Source organism: Homo sapiens, chromosome 8 (genome assembly GCF_000001405.40).
Source record: "Homo sapiens chromosome 8, GRCh38.p14 Primary Assembly".
Classification (NCBI taxonomy): Eukaryota; Metazoa; Chordata; class Mammalia; order Primates; family Hominidae; genus Homo; species Homo sapiens.
Window position 1 is genome coordinate 95,081,951 of NC_000008.11, and position 16,591 is coordinate 95,098,541.

Consider the following 16,591-nt stretch of genomic DNA (forward strand, 5'->3'; position numbering starts at 1 on the left):
AGCTATGGGAGGCTGAAGCGGGAGAATGGCGTGAACTCGGGAGGCGGAGCTTGCAGTGAGCCGAGATCGCGCCACTGCACTCCAGCCTGGGTGACAGAGTGAGACTCCGTCTCAAAAAAAAACAACAAAAAAAAAAAAACTCCTGTTGTTAAAATCTGAAAAAGAGAGAAACAAAGCTGAAGCTAGTAGAAATAACTGAAGTAAGAGGAATAAGAGGCATATGGTGGAAACCAGAAAAGAATTAGGCTGGGTGCGGTGGCTTATGCCTGTAATCCCAGCACTTTGGGAGGCCGAGGCAGGAGGATCACTTGAGCCCAGGAGTTTGAGTCCAGCCTGGGCAACATGACGAGACCCTGTCTCATTAAAAAAATAAAAAAGAAAAACTAATAGTGCAGCAATGGTAGGAAATGGGGTGGGTGCTGTGCTGCTGCTGTTGGGATGGGAGGGTGTGAGGAGTAAATAGAGAGGCCCTGGTGCCCAGCTGTATTCTCATACTGTCAGAATCATCTCCTTCTGTTCAGAATCACTCGAAGGTACTTAATACACTGTATGATTTCCAAACAGATACCTAGAATTTATGAAAATAGTTTGGATTTCCTGTTTTATGAAATAATCTCTCTCCTGTGGTAGGGGCGGGGGTGGGAGGAGCTTTCATATGTTCATGTGTTCCTTAGCATTCTTTTTGTTTGTTTGTTTGTTTGTTTTGTTTTGTTTTGTTTTGTTTTTTGAGACGGAGTCTCGCTCTGTCGCCCAGGCTGGAGTGCAGTGGCGGGATCTCGGCTCACTGCAAGCTCCGCCTCCCGGGTTCACGCCATTCTCCTGCCTCAGCCTCCCAAGTAGCTGGGACTACAGGCGCCCGCCACTACGCCCGGCTAATTTTTTGTATTTTTTAGTAGAGACGGGGTTTCACCGTTTTAGCCGGGATGGTTTCGATCTCCTGACCTCGTGATCCCCCGCCTCGGCCTCCCAAAGTGCTGGGATTACAGACGTGAGTTGTTTGTTTGTTTTTTTGTAGAGACAGAGTCTGTATGTATTGCCCAGGCTGGTCTCGAGCTCCTGGCCTCTAGCAGTCCTCCCGTCTCAGCCTCCCAAAGTGCTGGGATTACAGGTGTGAGCCACTGCACTTGACCCATATTCCTTAGAATTCTTTCAGGGTTTTATCTGTCTTTGTTTTTACATTTAACTTTTCAATCTAAATGGAATTAATTTTGGTAAATTGTGTAAGGTGATGCTAAAATTTTTTTGATCCCTAACAGCCAGCCTATTTTCCCAGCTTCATGTAGTAGATAATTCTTCCTTTCTCCACTAAACGGGCTCTGTCTTTATCATCCATTACATTCTTATTTGTACCTGATCAGCTTTGAATGCTATTCTGTAGCATTTATCAGTCTAGCTATCATTATAAGTTATCCATCTAGTTATTTTTGTATCAGGACCGCATCTGTTTAATTCTTGAGCTCTTTAAATGTGTTTAATACTTCCTAAGACTTTTTCACATTATTCTTGAATGTTAATTTTAGCACTTTTCACATGCCTACTCATCTAGAACAGCAGTTCTTAAGCTTTACTGTGCTATGGTTCCCTTTATTAAAACCTTTGAACCCTTTCTCAGATAATGACTTTAAACGGATAAAATAAGCAGGATTAAAAAGAAAGTCAATTTAATTTAAAAATAGCCATCAAAATATTTAAAACCTTATGATGCAGTAAATATGTACTTCTTTATTAATGCATTAATTACAAGATCTAGCAGCAGGTCTCATCCCTACTACCACAGTCTCAAAGTAGCAATGATCATAGGTGGTATTTCTAAATAACTGTAACAACCATAATGTAATACGAAAATATCTGTGATTTCTAATGGAGACAAAGTCCCAGAGACTGCTTATATGACCATGTTTCGTTACCTACATTCATAAATAAAGAAAATGCTACATTTCAGTTAGAGTCTAGTAAAAAGACAAGCATAATGTTTTCCCATCCAAAATCACAGAACCCCTGACTTTTATCCATGCATCTTAGATTAAGGACTTCTGTTGTAGATAAAATCTGAAAAAAAATGTGTCACATTTTAGAAAAACTCACTGGGATATTTACTGGGAATTGTGTAAGTTTGATAAATCAATCTGGTATGAAAAATTCATTCTTCCTATATTTATTATTTCATTATTTATTTATCTAAGAACATTAGTAAACCCAAGTTTTGTTGCTTTTCACATAGAAGTTTCTCATTTCTTTTGGTGGTATTCCTAGGATTTTTTTTCTATTGTGAATGCAAAAATTTTCCATTTAATGAATTTTTAAGTCCCCTAGTTATTTTGAATCAAAATTTGGACACCCTATTATTTCTTTATATATATTTCAGTACATATCTCTAAAAGATAAAGACTTTAAAAAACTACTACCACATCTTTTAAAAAATAAATAATTTTTTAATACTAGAAAACGTCATCTGTGTTTAAATCTTCCCAACTGCCTCATCATATTTTTTAAAACTTAGTGCTTTGTTTAAGTTAGGATTCAAAGAAAGTCCATACCTTACTCTTCATATTGTTTTTTGCATCCTTAGTCTCTCCTTGGTTTGAGTCCAACACCTGGCTAGAGTTAACTTGTGATTTGGCTAAAACACATTGGCGTCACTTTCCAATACGTGCTATTCAGCATCCTTGGGTACCAATTCCATGGCTTGGTGTGAATTCATTTGGCTTCCTAGGTAATTGGACTCAAACATGGAGAGACTTTAGATGGCAAATGCTAAATAAGATGGCTAGAAATCTAAAATTTCTTATGTGTCCTACCTAGACAGGGAGGTTCCTGTCTGTACCAAAACAACACTTGGGTACCTGTCGTAGGATTTAGCTTTTGCAACCAAACTTTCCCACAAATAGAACTTGAGAAAGAACTGGGGAATGGTTAGAGGCTGCCTTACTTTTATAGCCCTTATTTTAAAAAGGCATAGCATATGGACAGAGTCAGATCCAAGTAATTTTGGTTTAGATCTACCTGAAAATCTCTATACTAAAAACATCATTGGCCTGAATCACACTCAATAGAGGCATAAGGCATTATAATACCACTTGTCAACTCCTTAGTATTTTGGCCAAAGACTGATGGCCGTTATTAATGGCTACTGGCTTTGGAGCATGAAAGCCCATTGGCTATTACCTGCATATTGGACAGGGATTTGTTATCTTGGTAATCAATGCCTGCTTCAAGGATAGGCCCTAACAGGATCCAGGGTCGGTTTGTCCCATAAAGTTCCCTTTTTGGAAAAAGAAGTCTTTAGATAATGTGATTCAAGATGAGAAAAGTTAGACCTTGATCTAAGTTCAAAAACTTTAACTACGGAAGAGGAATTGTGGGCTGTCTTCTCCTCCTCCCATGCCTCTTCATTCTACACTTTACCAAAGGCTTAAAGAATGAGAAAATCCTACGTACTATGGTTCAATAATAGCAGGAGAGCTTGTCAATATCACCATGGTCATAGAAAACCTCAGCCAGGAGACTCATAAAATTGGACAGGCGGTGATTAGGAACAGAACTCTTCCAGATACCTGAAAAGGCCTCTTAAGGTGAAACATATGCCACTTTGCCAGGCACGCTGGCACTTGCCTGTAGTCCTAGCTACTCGGGAGGCTTGAGACTGTAGCATGCTGTGCTCGTGCCTGTGAATAGCCACTGCACTCCAGCCTGGGCAATATGGTGAGACCTCATTTCTAAAAAAAAAAAAAAATTTTAAGAGATATTTAAAAAACTATGCCACCTTAAAAGAATGCTTTGCTTGCATTTCCACAGACCTCTGTAGACTCTTTAACATTTCTAAAAAGATTCAAGACATAAACATGAAAATCAGATGAGATAATTTACATAATACCCACATATCTGGTTCTGCAGGTTCTGCGGATTAGGGATGGGGCTTTATTAATTTGAGTAAACTTGAGTCTTGGTTTAGAAATGAACTACAAACTCTGATCATGATCTATTCTCCTAGTATTTGTGTTGCAGTGTTTAAATATGTGACCTCCAGAGTCCCAAACGCTAACTTTTGCAAAGCCATTATCCTGTCACATGATCCACAGCTTACCCAGCAACAGGAAGAGCGACAAACTTCCTTGCATCTATAGGCTATGTTCTCATAACTGCCTCTAGACCAGCCTGGGTTATGGTGAGAATCCAGAATAACGTCCTGTCTACCCATGGCCAAAACAGGGGACTGAAGGAGAAAAACCTGACCAGGACTGGAAGAATAAAAATCACCTCAAACTGAGAAAGAAAAAAAGCAGCCCTACCTTTAATCGGGCTGTGAGGATAGCGACAGGTAATGCCAACTGCAAAATAAACAGAAAACAGTGTTCCCCTCAACACTGTAACATGCCACAATCCTATCTTTGAGTGATTACTGATTTGTACCAATGGCACCCCAGATGCACTTTGCTATTTTCATTTGTTACTGTGGATATATTGCTTAGCCCCATGGCAGCACCCAGTCCCTAGTTAATCCCTGCTTCTCCTGATCCTGTTCTCAGAAATAGCAAACTGTCCGAAATGGCCTCCTTCCCTTAAACCCTCCTCAGAATCCCTCAGTGGGAAGGCAAACCTGACAAAAGGCACCTCCCTCCTTCCTCTTGTCTCTCTCTTTTTTCTTTTCTTTTCTTTTTTTTTTTTTTTTCGAGACGGAGTTTCCTCTGTTGCCCAGGCTGGAGTGCAGTGGCGCGATCTCCGCTCACTGCAAGCTCTGCCTCCTGGGTTCATGCCATTCTCCTGCCTCAGTCTCCCGAGTAGCTGGGACCACAGGCGCCCCCCACCACGCCCGGCTAATTTTTTTTGTATTTTTAGTAGAGACGGGGTTTCACCGTGTTAGCCAGGATGGTCTCGATCTCCTGACTTCGTGATCCGCCCGCCTCCGCCCCCCAAAGTGCTGGGATTACAGGCGTGAGCCACCGCGCCCCGGCCCCTCTTGTCTCTTGAGTGCCTTCTCCCTGTGTGATCAGGTCAACACATCCTAGAGTCCCTGCAGGGGTGATGGGCACTGTCATCTGAGGGAGGGGCAAGCTGTCCACTGGGTGCACCATTAGCAGTTTGTGGGAGTTACCTGGGACCAAATACAACTTTTCTTTTGCCTTTTTTTTTAAAAAATTCTGCATGGTGCATATTTTTGGTAAAACTTTCAAAAATATAGAAAGCTTAATGTGATGGATACACACACACAGGCGCTCTCATTCTTAAAGAGTAGCCAACATAGGAAAGGTCCAGAAAGATCTGCAAATACAACTTTTCATACTTGCATCTTCCGTTTTCTCTTTCCTGCAGTGGTTTTCCCTCCCCACCCACTGACTGCTTCTTATACATTAACAGGCATCCCCAAAGATTTTTTTTATACCCATATCTGTGATTCTTTGTACTTTTTCCTTTCTTGGAGTAAGAGGCTCTGTTTCGTCATGACTGAAGTTCCCCCGATTATTTCCTCCAAAGTTTCCTGGGACTTTTTTTCATCCCATCATTTGGCTGTAGCAATTGTTCTTCTGCATTTTTCTGGCTGCTGGTTCATTTCTCTACCTGTTTCCTGCATCCATGCCTTTCATGCCTTTCATTTAAACTTCCATACAGCCAACTCTATTTGCAGTATAAAACCTTTCTTTGGCTTCCTCCTTTCCAAAAGCACTTTTACTTTAAAACATTTAATGATATTTCTCACCATTCTGTGCCTCCATGAAAAGAGATCCCAATTTCCTTCCCTTGTCCTTCTACTTTATTTTTCATTTCCTTCTGTTCAAACACGGGTTGCTAACATGCTGGGTCCAGCTGAGCCATCACCCAGCTTTTGAGACGTTCATTTTCACCGTCACCACAGAACCGCAGTGTCTTCCCTGGTACATTTCACAACTTTCAGTCTTTCTTGCTCATGCCCTTCAGGGCCGGGGAGTGGCACACATACAATTACAGCGAAATTACCACTGTTTCTCAAGATCTCCTCTTCCTCCAGCTAATTGTGGAAACTTCAGTCCCTACGCACCCCATCAGGCTGTTTCCTGGTAGCAGAGGAGAGGCAGCTCATAAACTCTTCTTGGCAGCACTGAAGACTAGCTGACCCTGCGGATGCCATGCTGGCCCTGGCACCTTGGGCCACCTGCTCGCCACCCCCATGAGGTTGTCCACAGCCAGGTGCCTGCACTGCAGCTGCTGTGATGCTTGAGGCACTGCCTGCAAACCTCATGGCTATAAGGACCAGGTGGCCACCTGGGCTCACAGCCTCCCACAGGCTGCCTCTCACCTCTGCCACAGCTATGCCCATCCTGGCGCCCTAGAGTCCTGGTGTGCTGGAAAGTGACAGATATGCCCATTGGATGGGGTCCTAATGTGAGGCTGCCCTTGTCCACTCTGGATTCTTTCCATATTCCCTCTAGAAAAGGTAACTGGAAGGATCAAAGTCATTACCTTCCCCACGTTGAGCTAGAGTTGAATATTCTTCCATTGGGGGCTGCCTGGCTGGATTCCGCTCTCTTCTACCCTGCCTTTCCTTCTCCACCCAAAACACACCTACCTCATCAGTGGTTTCCCACACTTTGTAAAACAACAGGATGGGTCTACAGGATGGTCTCCTCTCTAGATGCTGCAGCCCATTCCCCTTTTTGACATGTACACTGGAGATTAGACCCTGTATTCTCTCATAGTGATCTCAGGCTTTGGCTTCAGAAGTCAATTTTAGGTTAATTTCAGCCAAGTCACTTTTTTGGGGTTTTGTGTGTGTGTGTGTGTGTGTGTGTGTGTGTGTGTGTGTTTTCTTTTTGTTTTCTTGTTTTTATTTTATTTTATTTTATTATTTTTTTTGAGACAGCGTCTCACTTTGTCACCCAGACTGGAGTGCAGTGGCGCCATCTCGGCTCACTGCAACCTCCGCCTCCCGGGCTCAAGTGATTCTCCTACCTCAGCCTCCTGAGTAGCTGGGATTACAGGTGCACCACTACTGCCTGGCTAATTTTTGTATTTTTTTAGTAGAGACAGGGTTTCACCATGTTGGCCAGGCTGGTCTTGAACTTCTGACCTCAAATGATTCACTGGTCTCAGCTTCCCAAAGTGGTGGAATTACAGGCATGAGCCACCGCGCCCAGCCTTGTTTTTCTTTTTTTTGAGACAAGGTCTGGCTCTGTCGTCTAGGCTGTAGTGCAGTGGTGCGATCTCCGCCCACTGCAACCTCTGCCTCCCAGGCTCAAGCCATCCTCCTACCTCAGCCTCTTGAGTAGCTGGGACTACAGGCACACACCACCTCGTCCAGCTAATGTTTGTATTTTTGTGGAGAAGGGGTTTCGCCATGTTGCCCAGGCTGGTCTTGAACTCATGAACTCATGCCTGCATGAACTCATGAACTTCTGCCTCCGCCTCCCATAGTGCTGGGATTACAGGTGTGAGCCACCGTACCCAGCCTCCAAGTCACATTTCTGAAAATTTCTTTGAAATTCCCATCCAGTATCACTGTATATAGAAGAAATATATATACATAGTGTAAACTGTGTGTATATATATATATAAAAGGGAGAGGACAAGATTGTCAATATTCTTACTTTTCACATCTCATAAATAGAATTTCCTTTCCACAACCTCAGAGTTTTACAGAGTGGATGGAAGCAGTAATTCTCCAGGAAGTTTCTAGTATGGTGGTATCAGCCACTCACTGCCTCAAACCCAGTGAAACCCTCCGTAACACAGACTAGGATATGCCACAATTGGCAATGGGTACCCCTCTTCCAAATGGACCCAAATTCCTATCTCAGGCATGAGGTGAGGTCACTAGTTCACTGCCCAGTGGTCATCTGCACTTGCTCAGCTCATTGTGGAGTCAGTGGGCACAGACTAACTTTATCTTATGTGCTTTTTGGGAAATCCCAGAGAGGTTGAAAAATATTATTTTTAGTTAACGTCACAACAGTGGGGCCCATGTGTTGTGTTTTCATATTAGACTCCACTTACCTCACTATTATGGGTTTTACTGTACTTTCCTACTGTTTGGATAAATATCTGCTGCCCTGCGGGTCCTCTACCCCAGGTCCTTCCAAGCCCCTCCTCCAAATGACTTCCCACATTTCTGGCATCCCGGCAAGAGGTGGGAGGGACAGTTTACAAGACCCTGCACCTCAGCAGGTGTCTTTTCTTAAGAGACACCTTAAGGTGGGTGCTCCTTATTAAATATTTCAGATTATGTCTGTCTATTCGGTGTGGCCCCTTTCCCAAATCACCGGTTGTGGGGAGAACCCCACAGCTGCCTCTGTGCACAGGAAGTGGGTTCTCTGTATCAAATCAGGGTTTTCCTCCCTCTGACTCTAGAATTTCACATTCCTAGGCCATTTACCTAGCACGCCTGCACCTGTGACTTAAGTATGATAACGTGAGTTGTTGTATGATTGTGTTTACTTCATTCTTTAGTTCATGGCCTGAGCTCCCCTTCTCTTGTTTTTGACTTCTTGGGTTCTGCCTTTATCTCATGTCTTTCCTTGTCTCCAGCTCTATGTTCTGACATTTCTCCTTTCTTGGAGACTTGAGATTCTTTACAGTGAACTTTCTACTCTCCCCTCCCTGCTTTTCTCCTCTGCGGGCTTCAGATAAAGTTGAGTCATGGTTCGCCCATTTCCTGTCTTCTCCCCGCCGTTTCTTACTGTCCCATCTTGTTGATTGTTTAATACTAGGAGGGTGTGATGGTTAATACTGAGTGTCAGTCAACTTGATTGGATTGAAGGATACAAAGTATTGATCCTGGGTCTGTGAGGGTGTTGCCAAAAGAGATTAACATTTGAGTTGGTGGGCTGGGGAAAGCAGATCCACCCTTAATCTGGTGGGCACAATCTAATCAGCTTCCAACGAATATAAAGCAGGCAGAAAAACACAAAAAGGAGAGACTGGCCTAGCATCCCAGCCCACATTTTTCTCCCGTGCTGAATGCTTCCTGACCTCTATATTGGACTCCAAGTTCTTCAGTTTTGAGACTCGGACTGCCTCTCCTTGCTCCTCAAGCTTGCAGACAGCCTATTGTGGGACCTTGTGATAGTGTAAGTTAATACTTAATAAACTCATATATATATTAATAAACTCATATATATATTAATAAACTCATATATATATATATCCTATATATCCTATTCTGTCCCTCTAGAGAACCTTGACTAATACAGAGGGTGACCTTTCCATTCGCCAAACACCTGCTGTATTAGTCCGTTTTCACACTGCTATAAAGAAATACCCGAGACTGGGTAATTTATAAAGGAAAGAGGTTTAATTGACTCACAGTTCCACATAGCTGGGAAGACCTCAGGAAACTTACAATCATGGTGGAAGGCAAAGGGGACCTTCTCACATGGCGGCAGGAAAAACAAGAGTGAGGAGGGAAAGGGGAAGAGCCTCTTATAAAACCATCAGATCTCATGAGAACTCGCTCACTATCATGAGAACAGCCTGGGGGAAACTGTCCTCATGATACAGTCACCTCCCACAAGGTATCTCCCTAGAGACATGGGGATTATGGGGGTTACAATTCAAGATGAGATTTGGGTGAAGACACAGAGTCTAACCATATCACCCGCCATGGCTGAACTCTATTTGATGTTCATGCTGAAGCTCTTCCAAAAAAACCTTGTCAGTCTTTTCTGCAAAAAGCTCTTCCCTGCATTTATTCAAGCAGAAGAAAATAACTCAATTGTTCATCTCTCTCTCTTGCTCTCTCTTTTGAGACAGAGTCCTGCACCCATGCTGGAGTGCAGTGGCGCCATCCTGGCTCACTGCAGCCTTGACCTCTTGGGTTCAAGCGATCCCCCCCAGCTCAGCCTCCTGAGTAGCTGGGACTACAGGTGTGTGCTACTGCCCCTGGCTAATTTTTTTTTTTTTGTAGAGACAGGGATCTCGTATGTTGCCCAGGCTGGTCTCAAACTCTTGGTCTCAAGCGATACTTCCACCATGACTGCACCAGGACTTTTCCTGTTTCTTAATTCCTTTAAGGCAAGCCCAACTCTGTTTACCTCCATTATATAATATTATGCTCTTGGATAAACTGCCTAAGTGCATGTTAACTGTAAAGGGCAGATGTCATTTACCTGTCATATTTACTCCTTTCTCATTTATTTATATCAGGACTTAGTGTTCCCAACTTCACACTGCACTCCGAGTTTTGAGTCACACCTGTGTGTCTTCTGCTGTCTCTAAATGAAACTATCTACCATGTGGTTAACTTAAAATTCCCCTTTGACACAATTTTTTTTTTTTTTTGAAATGGGACTCTCACTCTGTCACCCAGGCTGGAGTGCAAAGGCATAATCTTGGCTCACTGCAATCTCCGCATCCCAGGTTCAAGTGATTCTCCCACCTCAGCCTCCCAAGTAGCTGGGATTACAGACACCTGCTATCATGCCTGGCTAATTTTTGTATTTTTAGTAGAGACGAGGTTTCACCATGTTGGACAGGCTGGCCTTGAACTCCTGATCTCAAGTGAGCCACCCGCCTCAGCCTCCCAAAGTGCTGGAATTACAGGTGTGAGCCACCTCACCTGGCCCCCTATGACATAATTTGATTCCACACTAATTGTCTCCAGGCCAAACCCCAAACTGGTCAGCATTTTTCACTAAAGCTATTTAATATCTCACGAAGCCTTTTTTTTTTTTTTTTTTTTTTTTGAGATAGAGTCTCGCTCTGTCGCCCAGGCTGGAGTGCAGTGGCACGATCTCAGCTCACTGCAACCTCCGCCTCCCAGGTTCAAGTGATTCTCCTGCCTCAGCCTCCTGAGTAGCTGGGACTACAGGTGTGTGCCACCACGCCCGGCTAATTTTTTGTATTTTTAGTAGAGATGAGGTTTCACTGTGTTAGCCAGGATGATCTTGATCTCCTGACCTCATGATCGGCCTGCTTTGGCCTCCCAGGTGCTGGGATCACAGGCGTTAGCCACCGCTCCCGGCCTGCTGAAGCCTTTTAAGGGCAATACAAAATCCTATATCCATTTTACTTTTGCAGAAATAGTATCCAAAATAAAACCGGTTTCTCTACTGATCGGCAATTTCATGAGAACATTTGTCCCTAAGAATCTGAATTATAGAAAACATATGCCGAGTTCCCTGAGTCAGTTTGAGCTGAGTTCATAACCATAGTGCTCACCCTATGCTTCTCACTGGGTAGCTGTTCTAATCCCTTGGGAGTGTAAGGGGTGGGTGGGAGGGGTGGAGATGTAACTTGGGTTCTAGAGTCCGCCTTGGTGGATTTGCATTCTGACCCACCACTCATTTCAGGACCTTGAACAATCTACTTTATCTATGTCTTGGGTTCCTCATCAGCAAAATCAGAATGATAATATCTATCTTTGGGGTTGTGAGAAAGAAACTTCTTATCTGAGGAATGCAGGCCTCCTTTCATTATCAGGCCCAAAGCAGCACTGAAACATGACAATGTGTGACAGAAGTCATGTCTCATTGCCCCTTGAGCTAAATAATTACTTCTTGAAGCCACTTGCTTATGTGAGCTCTAGAGTATCTGATGCCAAGACTCCATAAAATTGCATACACTGGACACCATAACTCATACCCTATAGTTCAACAATGTATACCCAATCACTCGTTAATGTTACTTCTGTAAACTAATGAGGATTCCAAAAGATTTTTTTATCAGACCACTCCCTGTCCCCTTTTTGTCTTTAAAACCTGCTTGTAACAAAGTAACAAAGGCCAAAGGCAGCATTCCCCAAGGCAAATTGGAAGTGTCCTGGGCTACAGTCCTCAACCCTGGCCCAAATAAACTATATTAATTTTGCCTCAGTTTCTTTCCTTAGGTCAACAGTTGGGAGGCTTAGATGAGATAATATAGGCAATGTCCTTATAACAAATTCTTAACACATATTAAGTATTCAGTTAATGTTAGGTAGCTAGTGGTATGATTGCCACACATCTTCCCTGCAAAGGGCCCACAGTTGTTCTTCCCTCACTTAATTAGCTACCTTCTTTTCTTTTGTTTTCTCTCCTCAAGGCCTTCTTTAGACCTGAAATAAATACTTCCTTTTTTTGTTGTTTTTTTTTGAGACAGCGTCTCACTCTGTTGCCCAGGCTAGAGTGCAGTGGCGTGATCTCGGCTCACTGCAACCTCTGCTTCCTGGGTTCAAGCGATTCTCCTGCCTCAGCCTCCCTAGAAGCTGGGATTACAGGCATGCACCACCACGCTTGGCTAATTTTTTGTATTTTTAGTAGAGACAGGTTTTCGCCATGTTGGCCAGACTGGGCTTGAACTCCTGACCTCAGGTGATCCGCCCACCTTGGCCTTCCAAATTGCTGGGATTATAGGCGTGAGCCACCACACCCGACCAAGAAATACTTCCTTTTTCACCCCTTCCTCTTCCACTTCCTTTGGCCACTGTGCCCAACTATTCTATGTCTTTCCTTTTTCTTTCCTTCTTTCTTTTCTTTTCTTTCCTTCTTTCTTTTCTTTTCTTTCTTTTTTTTTTTTTTGGATTTTTTTTTTTTTGAGACAGAGTCTCACTCTGTTGCCCAGGCTGGAGTGCAGTGGCACGATCTTGGCTCACTGCAACCTCTGCCTCCAGGATTCAAGTAATTATCCTACCTTAGCCTCCCAAGTAGCTGAGATTACAGGCGCCTGCCACCATGCCTGGCTAATTTTTATATTTTTTTAGTAGATATGGGGTTTCACCATGTTGGGCAGGCTGGTCTTGAACTCCTGACCGCAGGTGATCTGCCCACCTCGGCCTCCCAGAGTGTTGAGATTACAGGCGTGGGCCTCTGCGTCTGGCCTCTTTCTTTCTTTTTTCTTTCCTTCTTCTTCTTCTTCTTTTTTTTTTTTTTTTTAAGAAATAGGGTCTTCGTCTGTTATCCAGGCTAGAGTGCAGTGTCATGATCACAGCTCATGGCAACTTTGAACTCCTTGGCCCAAGACACCCTCCTGCATCAGCTTCCTGAGTAGCTAAGACTACAGGTGCACACCACCACGCCCAGCTAATTTCTTAATTTTTTGCAGAGTTTGGGGGTGGCGGGGGGTGTCTCACTGTGTTGCCCAGGTTGGTCTTGAACTACTGGCCTCAAACTATCCTCCCACCTCAGCCTCCCAAAGTGAGGTGGCCACCATGCCTGGCCCACATTTTTCTATTGATCCTCACCTAAGTCTGTTGGCACTCAACAGATACTAACCATCACGCAGTCAGATAGGAGAAAGATTAAAAAAAGAAAAAGCCGTGGACTCCATAGATTTGGGTTTGACCCATGGTTGTAGAGGATTCTTTCCCTCTCACAGGCAGGCATCTATGATTAATTTGCACAGTGTGCCTCAGAGCGTGAATCAGGAGAAAATCTGGTGGTTTGACCAACCCAGAGATGGGGGTGAAGCTAGCTGAGAAGATAGTCACCTTAGTACTGCTGGAGAAGGAAGGATGTGAGGGTTTGGTGGACACAGTCATCCGAATGGGATCCAGGTCATTAATCCTTGGCCGCTCTCTGTGCCCAGTGGCCTCCTCTCAACCAAGGTGCAAACTAAAGGCAATTCACCCTGAACCCCAGGGTGGAGTGCAGGGGAATCCAGCACACGTGGGAAGGTCTGTCCCCCAAGACTTTCTTGTTCTGGCCTGAGGCTGTTAAATTCCCTGGGGCTGATTGCTCCTCAGTCTCTCCTAAATTTTGTGCATTCCATGCTCACTCCACCCCCATTAGCCAATACAAGAGTTTTCTTGTGTCTAAAAAAGATCATTTCGCTTTTTTTTTTTTTCTTTGAGACCAATTCTCACTCTGTCTCCCAGTCTAGAGTGCAGTAGCATGATCTCAGCTCATTGCAACCTCTGCCCCCTGGGTTCAAGTGATTCTTGTGCCTCAGCCTCCCAAGTAGCTGAGATTACAGGCGCCTGCCACCATGCTTGGCTAATCTTTGTATTTTTAGTAGAGATGGGGTTTTGCAATGTTGGCCAGGCTAGTCTCGAACTCCTGGCCTCAAGCGATCCGCCTGTCTCGGCCTCCTAAAGTACTGAGATTACAGGCGTGAGCCACCGTGCCCGGCTGATTTCGCTGTTTTTGAAGTTTAAAATGAATATTTCATTTATTATCGTAACACCTTCTAAAGCCTAGCTCCTTCAGTTTTTAAGTTTATACATCATTTGTTTTAAGTGTAGCAGGTTTTAGCAATCACTGTTAAGGGGTCTTTGATACCTGGCCCAATTTACAAATAGTTTAATTGCTGACAAGGAGTCGAATCAGGATGCAAGGGTTCCCTTTATTTAGAAGGGTGTGAAAGTTTAGGGGCAGTGGGTATGGAAAGTTGGAGTGAGAGAGCACTGGCTGAGCAGCCAGGAGGGTGGAGACTGCTGGGCAAGAGACACTGCAGACAGGACTTCAACAAAAGTATTGGCCTTTTGGGGAGGTCAGGCAGAGAAGTTCTGTTTCTCCGCCTCCCTGCAACATCACCTCAATGCCTGGGGCAAGTCACTGGCCAGGACTCCACAAGTCCAGATCTGAAAGCACCTTCGGGTTTTGTAAACAATCTAAGTGACAAAAATGAATGGGGGGATGAAAAGGAGTCCTTAGTTAATACAGCAAGAAACAATAGCTGATGAAAGAGAGAATTAATATTATTGAGCACTCCCTGTGACCTGATGAGGTTAGTATCATTCTTCTCATTTTATGGATGTAAAAATTGCACCTCAAAGCTGTACAAGTAGTAAGTAGAGGAGACTGAATTCATTCTGACAATATTTGCAGTATGTCTTATTAAAAACTATGAACATCTTGCAAAAGTATTGGATCTGATTCAAAGCAGATCGTATCACCATGTTTTCACCTGTATCATTCTCTCAGCCCTTAGTCCACACTGACTTTTTTCAAAACTGCCATACCAGGTTCATTACCTGAGTTTCTATGGGGCAAGAACGTGCAAGTCTGATTTTTGTGAATTTCTCACAAGAAACACAGCAGGAAGGGGTTGGTTCTGTGTTTGCCATTTTCCTCGTAATTGCCAAAGTGGAGGCAGAGATGTTGTGCAATTTCAGAGAGGAGACCTCCAGGGGCTAGGCAGGGACCTCTAGCAGCTCATCAGCAGCAATACTGGTGGGATCCTACCCAATGAGGCCTAACAGGGGGTTAAGGAGAGACGCACACTCTCTGGGCCCCTGGGCCAGTGAACAGACTCATTTGTACGTTTTCATCTCTGGCTGGAAATGTACATTATGAACTTAGAGAGAACGTCCCAACTTTTCAAATGTCCATGGGAAATTACCAAAATACATGATGCCCCTGGCCTCAAATTTCCAAATGGAGAATGGTGTAGGCTTCATTCCTTGACAACAAATGAAATGAGACTAAGAATGAATAACAAAAAAATAAACTAAGACATCTCAATTTCATGTAGCAAAAGTACACCCCTTATTGGTAACAGCCTAATTGGTAGAAGCAGATAATTGGAAACAACCTAAATGTTCGACAATAGATGTAGAATAGTATACATTAAAATACTGTTGGCCGGGCGCAGCGGCTCACGCCTGTAATCCCAGGACTTTGGGAGACTGAGGCGGGTGGATCATCTGAGGTCAGGAGTTTGAGACCAGCCTGGCCAGCATGGTGAAACCCTGTCTCTACTAAAAATACAGAAAATTAGCCGGGCATGGTGGCATGTGCCTGTAATCTCAGCTACTCAGGAGGCTGAGTCAGGAGAATCGCTTGAACTGGGGAGGTGGAGGTTGCAGTGAACTGAGATCACGCCATTGCACTCTAGCCTGGGCAACAAGAGTGAAACTCCATCTCAAAATAAATAAAATAAAATAAAATATAGTTACAGAATCCATCTTCTGCCTGTATTGGTGGCTCTTCAGTTGAAAATTAAGCATTTAGAAGTTGGTATGCTCCCAAACGACCTAACTTCTAAAATGCAAAGGCACTGGCAAGCTTAGGATCTGATGACTGTCAGATACCTTGCAAATTCCTCATCTGTGGCTAGTGAGAGATCTCTAGGCCTACTGGAGCAGAAAGTATCATGCAACAGTTTGAGGGAGACTTGTGGTTGGTTCTGGATCCCTTTGTCTGGGGTTGCTACGCAACAGTAAGAAAGGTGAGAGGAGTTTCCTTATTTTCTACAGCTCCTCATTTGTAACAGGTTTCTGTTGAGAGCAGCTCATGTCTTGGTGGTGATGTTTTGATCTGGAGTCCCTTTTGCTTTCCAAAAGTGAATTTTCTTAACAGAGTAAGCAAAATGAATCTCTACTGCTACATCTGGAGCGTTCCTAACTGGGGGAAAGATGTTTAAAGCAATGGATACCCCAATCTGGAGTGATCCATTTTCTTTAAAAACTAGCTTCTGGCCGGGCTGGTGGCTCACGCCTGTAATCCCAGCACTTTGGGAGGCCGAGGTGGGTGGATCACCTGAGGTCAGGAGTTCAAGACCAGACTGGCCAACATAGTGAAACCTCGTCTCTACTAAAAATGTATGTCTTGGCCAGGTGCAGTGGCTCACGCCTGTAATCCCAGCACTTTGGGAGGCCGAGGCGGGCAGATCACAAGGTCAGGAGTTCAAGACCAGCCTGACCAACATGGTGAAACCCCGTCTCTACTAAAAATACAAAAATTAGCCGGGCATGGTGGCACACACC

General features: G+C 44.0%; 1 protein-coding gene across 2 annotated transcripts in view, besides 2 other annotated features; it reads left to right on the plus strand.

Annotated features, from left to right (window-relative positions):
- NDUFAF6 (NADH:ubiquinone oxidoreductase complex assembly factor 6) overlaps positions 1 to 16,591 on the plus strand; it is a 222,698-nt gene that overhangs the window by 186,152 nt on the left and 19,955 nt on the right. The gene's annotated exons all lie outside the window — the stretch shown is intronic.
- Positions 5,817 to 5,886: an enhancer, noted in NCBI's record as "active region_27640". NCBI's record gives its function as "activates an Ori minimal core promoter by ATAC-STARR-seq in GM12878 lymphoblastoid cells {active_cell/tissue: GM12878}" and the evidence as "EXISTENCE:reporter gene assay evidence [ECO:0000049][PMID:35858748]".
- Positions 10,935 to 11,064: an enhancer, noted in NCBI's record as "active region_27641". NCBI's record gives its function as "activates an Ori minimal core promoter by ATAC-STARR-seq in GM12878 lymphoblastoid cells {active_cell/tissue: GM12878}" and the evidence as "EXISTENCE:reporter gene assay evidence [ECO:0000049][PMID:35858748]".